Source organism: Homo sapiens, chromosome 15, assembly GCF_000001405.40.
Source record: "Homo sapiens chromosome 15, GRCh38.p14 Primary Assembly".
NCBI lineage: Eukaryota > Metazoa > Chordata > Mammalia > Primates > Hominidae > Homo > Homo sapiens.
Window position 1 is genome coordinate 70337465 of NC_000015.10, and position 7843 is coordinate 70345307.

A 7843-nucleotide genomic window follows, 5' to 3' on the forward strand; every position below is an offset into this window, starting at 1 on the left:
ATCAGGAAGGCTGGCGGGAGACCAGACGCCACATAGCCTGCAGAACCTCAGGATACAGGCCGGCCCCGCCAGGGCTACTTGACCCCAAACCATCCCAGGGTCCTGCTCTGGCCTTTGCAGTCCCCAGTTTCCATGTGGTACTAGGTCTTGGCGTGGTGTGGAGAAGGAGGTGTTCTCTTTCTCTCTGTTGCAAAGGAATATTAGGAAATGCATCCGGATTTAGATTCCCAAATGGAACTCCAAGCTGTCCCCTTAATTGATTTCTTTTGCTTCCCTCAAGTCCTCAAAAACGTGTCGACATCCATTTGGAGTTGCCGTCCACCAGGCGCACACTGGCCAACTTTCTTCAATTAATGAGCTGTGACTGAAATTGAGAGCCTCACTTTCCACAGCCACGGCAGGAGATTGACCCTGCCTTGGCGATTAAACAAAATGTCAGTGCTGTGTCTGTGAAATATAAGTTATTAAAAACTGGCCACTCCAGCTAGCTCGGGCAGCACATTATCACTGATGACTATTGTCTTGGCTGTGGCTGGACATCCCCCGACACTCACCTCCAAATTTGGCCTGTTTGCTGCTTGTGCCTTTGCTCAAGTCAGTCCCCCTGCCCTGCACGCCCTCTCTATAGCTATGTGCTTGTCAAAACACAGCCAGCCTTCAGGACCCAGTTATTTGGATTTTTTATTCATTCAGTAAACATGTGTTGAATGTTCACTGTGCACCAGACTCTTGTCATTTATTCATTTCTATAAAAATGTATTAAATGAACAAGACAAACACCACCTTTATCCTCACAGAGCTCGGAGACTTGGAGGGACACATTTTGAAAGATGACTCTTGGCCGGGTGTGGTGGCTCACACCTGTAATCCCAGCACTTTGGGAGGCTGAGGCAGGCAGATCACTTGAGGTCAGGAGTTCAAGACCAGCTGGCCAACATGGTGAAAACCCGCCTCTACTAAAAATACAAAAATTAACCAGGCATGGCGGTGGGCGTCTGCAGTCTCAGCTATGCAGGAAGCTAAGGCAGGAGAATCAGTTGAACCCAGGAGGCAGAGGTTGCAGTGAGCCGAAATCACACTACTGCACTCCAACCTGGACAACAGAGGGAGAGTCCGTCAAAAAAAAAAAAATTTACTCTAAGGTGGCACAGTGGATTTAGGGCAGTGACAGATATGTATGAGTGCTATGGGGTACTGGGAAGGGGCACTGACTTCTGGAGAAAGTGCTATATTTTTTAAACATTTTTGTAATTAAAAATTTCAAATATTTATTTGGAACTGTTTGACGAACCCCTCGGTGCCCACCACCCAGCTTTAGCATCATCGATCATCTCACAGCCAGCCTTTTATCTCTAATCCTATCTGCCTCCCCACACTCTTGTGTTATTTTGAAGCAAATCCCAGACATCATGTTATTGTCTCCATGAGTCCACACCCCTTCTAATCTGTACTGCTCAGTGGCTTTAGGCCAGCTTTATGTCAATAAGGGAGCCACCAAAGTGTCCAAGGAGCACTGACCAGCCTTGGCGTCAGACAAATCTGAGTTCAAATCCTATTTCCCACACCTGCAAAGCTGCTGACTGTGCAAACGACTTACCTACTCTGGGCCTTGCATTCCTCATGTACAAAATAGGGATACCATTTCTGAGTTTCTAGAGTTGTTCTGATAATTAAATGATGTAAAGTATATAAAGTGCCCAGCATGGCACCTGGCCCTGAATTGGTGCTCCATAAATATTCCCTCCCTTACATCACACACCGGGGCCTGTTGTGGGGTGGGGGGAGGGGGGAGGGATAGCATTAGGAGATACACTTAATGTAAATGACGAGTTAATGGGTGCAGCACACCAACATGGTGCATGTATACATATGTAACAAACCTGCACGTTGTGCACATGTACCCTAGAACTTGAAGTATAATTAAAAAATAAATTAATTAAAAAAATATATTCCCTCCCTTGTCTTGCTGTGTCCTGGGTCACTGTGAGAGTACCGTGAAGCAGCTGAGTATGTTTGACTGATATTTCACTTCGGACATGCTAAGATGTGACTGGACATTCCCAGAGGTCAGACTCCTGACCACAGTATAGGCCCAGCCCAGACAGCTATTACAGTAAGACTTCTTTAATGTCAGCCTCTCTCACCTACTCTTTACATAGTGTGGACTACTCTTTAAGCAGACCACTGGTCCACACTGTGTAAAGAGTAGGTGAGAGAGACTGACATTAAAGAAGTCTTACTGTAATAGCTGTCTGGGCTGGGCCTGAACCACCGTCACGTGAGTTCACTGCAGAGAGATGTTGCTTAAGTTTTGCAAAGTTCAAGTCGTGACATTGGCCATTCCTTTCACACTTCACAGTGCTTTGGGAAGAAGGGAGACTCTAGGCAAGGGAGAATGTGTGCACCTAAACTGAGCACTTGCAAGCTTGCTTTTCAAAGGCTCGACCTGCTTCTGGCTGCTGCGAGCACCAGCCTCCTCTCTACTCTGGGTGGCAGCTGGTGATAAAGCCCCAATAACTCAGACAAATGTGGTTGACGCCAGAGAGGAGTCAAGGGCCTGGCTGCAACGTCTGGGGCCAGCTTGGTCTTGGACCTCGCTGTATGTTTACAAGTTTCCTTTGACAATTCAGTTTTGAAGATGGGCTTCATTAAAGGGCAATTATAGGTTAAGTAACTTGTTGGCTCATTGCCTAATGTGGAAAACTCGACTATGACAATCAGATAATTCTGAGATTAAGCAAGACAGCAATTGCTACTGAAAGAAGAAGCTTAGCAAGAGGATAAAAGACTCTCCAGCCATGACCTCATCCCAGCTGCCCGTCTGGGCAGGAAGTCTGGATTCAAGGGGCCAGCAGGCTCTGGGAACCTCTGGCATCGGGGGTGACCTCTTCTGGGAAAGGAGACCACAAAAGGCAAAGTGCTCTCCCATTGAGTGGCAAGATTCCCCTCTTCCTATAGGGCTTAATTCTCCCAGAGGCCTTCTCCTGGGTGCCAGGAGTGAGCCAAGCTGGTCTGTGCTGTGGCCTCTGTTTGTACCCGGCTGTTTTCCATCAGCCCACCCTTGCTAATACCTCCACTTTCCCTCTCCTTCCACATCTCTGACCATCCATGAAGCTTCCCTAATGCAGAAGGGGTGAATTACCTCAATATTCCTTGAGAACTTGGTGTCAGATAGGAAATTTTCTATTATGTGTCAGAAAATCCCACCCCAAACTATGACTTGTACAGAAAGGGGGATTTATATCCTCATCTACTGATGTAACTAACAGGCTCAGAGGGTGTTGACCTCAGGAGTAGCTGGATCCAGGAGCATTAAACAATGCCCTCTCCTCTGCTTGTCCCTTATAAGCCCCATTTTCAGAGCTCTTTCCACACTGTGGCAAGATGGCCACAGAAGTTCTGGTCCAGCTGGAAAAAAAGCCTTGTTTCCTGATGATTCCTGCCAAAGTTATCTTATTTGACCTGATTGGACCAGTGTAAATCATGTGACTGGGTAAACTTCACATCCTGATTGGATGTTCTTTGGTTAGGTGTATGCTCTACTCTACAGCAGGTGGGAGGCTTATTAGGAGCGCATAGCCTGAGGATAAAGGAGGGACAGACCCTCAAAAGGAAATCAGAGTGCTGTTCTCAAAAGAAGGGGAAAGAGATGCCAAGAACCAAAAATCTAACTAATATACTTCTGGCCTCTGTCATGCATTTATTTATTTATTTTTGTTACTATTATTTATCTTTTTTTTTGTTTCTTGAGACAGAGTCTAGCTCTGTCACCCAGGCTGGAGTGCAGTGGCGCAATCTCGGCTCACTGCAACCTCTGCCTCCCCAGTTCAAGTGATTCTCCTGCCTCAGCCTCCCAAGTAGCTAGGATTAGACATGCACACCACGCCCAGCTAATTTTTGTATTTTTAATAGAGACGGGTTTTCACCATGTTGCCCAGGCTGGTCTCAAACTCCTGACCTCAAGTGATCCACCCACCTCGGCCTCCCAGAGTGCTGGGATTACAGGTGTGAGCCAATACACCCTGCCTGTCATGCGTTTAAATGTTAACTTTGTGATAATCCTGTCTCTCAGGTAGATTTTTAGTTCCTGTGGGGCTGTGGTTCTGAAAAAGTGGTTCCCAACAGGCAGCAACAGCATCACCTGGGAATGTGTTAGGAAGTTTCCGGCCCAATCTGGCTCTCCTTGAGCCCCTGGAGTCCCTCAGGTTGGTGGCCACATGTCCCAGGTCTCCATGCCCCTGCTGCATGGAGGGGTCAGTGCCATCCTGACTTAGCCCAGCTGATATTCACAAGGGCAGCATGGGGTGACAGCGAGAGCTGTGGATTAGCAAGGTCAGAACAAGGCTCCCAGACCTGGCCTGGGCCCTGCAGGACACATTCAACCCTCCTGAGCCTCACTTTCCTCATCTCCGAATGAGAGGCTCGGGAGTAAGGATTCTGGATCCACACTGTATGACACTTGGGTCTGCGGAGCTCTCTGCTGGACCCTGGGCAAGAGGCTGAGGTGGGTGCACGGAAAGATGGAACGGTGGTTCCTGCCTTCGCTGACCTTATAGTTCAGTTACATGCGGAACAGTGACACTCGGGTGACTAAAAACCAAGCCAGCTGCTTCTATTTCCAGGTTCAGGAGCAGGACACAAACACATGAGGCCCTATAAGCAGCAGGATACCACTGTGGGCTTTCTGGAGAGGGTGAGCCTTGAAAAGGGAGTTTGATTAAAAAGTAAAGGGAACACCCTCGAAGGAGGTGGGGAAACTGCTGAGCAAGGGCATGGAGACGGGGTTTTGTCGTGTGTTTGGAAGTGGGGACAAGACTCCCTGGCTCTCCCTTGCTTAATATGACACAGGCTGTGTCTTCCTCCCCGCACCTCGTAAAATCTTGCCTCTTCTGCCCCAGACAGCTGAGGACCTGTTTTTTCAGAGTATGTGCTCAGAATTACTTCTAGGTAGGCTCAGAGATTGGGTGGAGGCGGGGTGAGTGTGATGCTGTGATTAGATTCACCTTCAAGACTGAACCAGCCTCCCCACCGTTCTGATCCAGGCAGCAGCCCCATAACACAAGAGTTAAGAGGAGTTTGGAACGTGGATCTGGACTGTTGAGAGGAGGTGGAAGATGAGAAGTCCTAGGCCAGTGTAGGGAGGGAGAGAGCAGAGGGCATCTCTCATCGATTTGCTCATTTGTTCAATCAACAGCCAAACATTCACTGACTGTCTGCTCTGAGTTAAGGCCTATTCTGGCACTAGGACTGCAGAGCCTCCATAGTTCTGGATATCTGTTAATGCTGAGCGTTTGGAGAGTTTGTCTAAACCCCCCATTTTACAGATGGGAAAACTGAGGCTCAAACCCAAGGCACACAAGAGGTCAGTGGCCTGGCCAAGATAGGCCAGGCCCAGGTATGTTCCCGCCAGCAAAAAGGGAATGACTCCAAGAGGCTGGAGCCTGTATGGACCCAAGCGTCACCTGGCAGGAGAGGGAGAGTAAGCACAGATGCAGCCTCAGGGCCTGAGAGGGGTTGAAGTGTCCAGACGCAGATTCCCAAGAGTGGAACAATTAGCAACAGACGAAATTCAGACAACTGGCCCCAGGGCAAGTTCAACAAACAGCCACCACAGGGCAGAGGTTTCTGGGAGTCTGGCCCCAAGCAGGATGGGGGCAAAGAGACCAGGTACTGTGATTAAGTGCTGGAGGGGTTGGGGTTGTAGCCCCGGAGAAACTGATGTGCCTGGTCCTATGTGACAAAGGCAGGCCTGCAGGGTCCCAGAGTGAGGAGCCAGCCCCTCTGCAGCCCCTTTTGCCAGAGGCCACCGCTGATGCAGGGCTGAGCCTAGGAAAGGGCCCAGCACTAGAGCTGGGATGGAGCAAACCTGTGGCAGATCTGCTGGTGGCCCACAGCTGCAGAGCTGGAGGGCCTCAGCCAATAACAACATCAATATAATAACAAGAAGGATGAGACAAGGCTTACCATGCAACCAGCACTGTGCTAAAAACCTGTGTGCACTGTCTTGGTAAATCCCAGCAACAAGTATATCTCCATATCACAGATGAGGAAACTGAGGCACAGAAAGGTCAGGTCCTTGGTCAAGACCACACAGCTAGCAAGGAATAGAGCTGGACTTAAACACAGGGAGCTGGATTCTAGGGCCCATGTCTTGAAGGAATTCTCATCTCCTTTCTATGGTCCAGCCTTTTGATTATGTACATTTTCAAACATACATGAAAGAAGAGAAAATAGATATATGGACCCGCAGTGTATCTGTCATCCAGCGTCAGTGTCGATCCACATTTTGCAATCTTATTTCTCCACAGACCTCACTATTTTTAGGAGAGGGCTAGGGTATTTTAAAGCAAATCACAGATATCGTATCCTTTCAACCTTAAGCACTTCAGTCTGCATATGGAATAGATAAGCATATTTTTCTTTCTCATACCGACTATGCTGTTATCACACCTAACAAAATCAGCAGTGACTTCTGGATGTCAGGGGTAAGTCTCTCTGATCATCTCCAAGATGGCTTTTTACAATTGCATCCAATCAGGACGCAAATTAGATCCACCCATTGCGTTTCGTTGCTCTGACACTCAGGTCTCTCTGATTCTCAAGTTTCCTCTCCCCACTTTCCCATGCCAACCAGTTGAACCTCCTTTTATAGATGGGAAATGAGGCAGTGTTCGCGGTCTCTTCCAGGACTAGGCCCCAGCCAGCTCTAGTTCATTTCTGCTGCCGCCGTCGTGGCAGACCCTTCTCTTATTTATTCTTTTCTATTTGTGAACTAGCAGAGAAGTTAGCAAGAACGGGCATCCTCAAGCTCTGTGCGTTCTCAGGATATAATTCACTTTAATCTTTTAAGCATTTGACAGTATTTGCTCGAAAGAAGGAGCAACAAGTACATAATTATTGCACTAATTAAGCTGCCAAAACACAAGCGTGAGGCAAGAGCACCTTTGAAACGGGGAGCCCACGACGCATTAGCATCTGCTGTAAGCTTATTAATCACCTAACAGGCAATTAGCAAGCTGTTACTGTTTGAGGCTGCTATGTAAATAAATTCTTGGGTTAATTTCTTCCTCTGATAATAAAGAAAACATTATGAAAATTAGCTAAGCGACAATGTAAATGATCTTCACTGTTAATTATATGACAGCGTTACATATGCAAGGACCCCAGCGCTGATAAGGGACAGGCTCCCTCCTTCCCCATTGCCCATCCCCAGCCCCCACCTTGGCTCTGCCACTTTAAAAATAAAAGTGTTGACACAGGTAAGGAGGGGGAGCTTTGGGGACTGGAGTCACAGCTGTTTGCTTGCAGCTTGCCCAGAGCAACTGCCAACTCCTGCAAACTGGGATGTTTTGTCACCTGAACCTCAAGTGGCCTTGGGCTGGACCTGTGACCCCAGCTGGCAGGAAGGGAGCAAGGAAGGGGCAGAGGACCAGGCCTGGGGTTCTCCCCACCCATGGCGGCCTGCTCCCTGAGGCCTCGCAGCAGTGCTGAATAGACTCCTGGGTTTATGTCATTGTCACATGGGGGAATTCCTGGGTACTACTGCGCATGTGGCATTGCTAGACAGAGGCCACCTAGCTCACCCATCTGGGTCAGGTGTGTGGCATGAGGCAGGTAGAGGCCCTGTAACTCAAGTTCAAATCCTGCCTCCACCACTCAATGTCTGTGTGACCTTGGACAAGTGACCAAACTCCCCTCAGCCTGTTTTTTCATCCGTGAAATGGAGATGATGGTACCAGAACCTGCAGAGGGTCGCTGTGAACAAATATAAGGGATAATTCTCATAAAGCCCTTAGCACAGAGCCTGCCTATGGTGAGCACCGGATACATGCTCACTGGCATT

The 7843-nt window shown here is 48.5% G+C and overlaps 1 annotated feature.

Moving 5' to 3' along the window:
• Positions 6934-7435: an enhancer, noted in NCBI's record as "H3K4me1 hESC enhancer chr15:70636737-70637238 (GRCh37/hg19 assembly coordinates)". NCBI's record gives its function as "activates a minimal SCP1, AML or CMV promoter by ChIP-STARR-seq in primed H9 embryonic stem cells {active_cell/tissue: H9 hESC(primed)}" and the evidence as "EXISTENCE:reporter gene assay evidence [ECO:0000049][PMID:30033119]".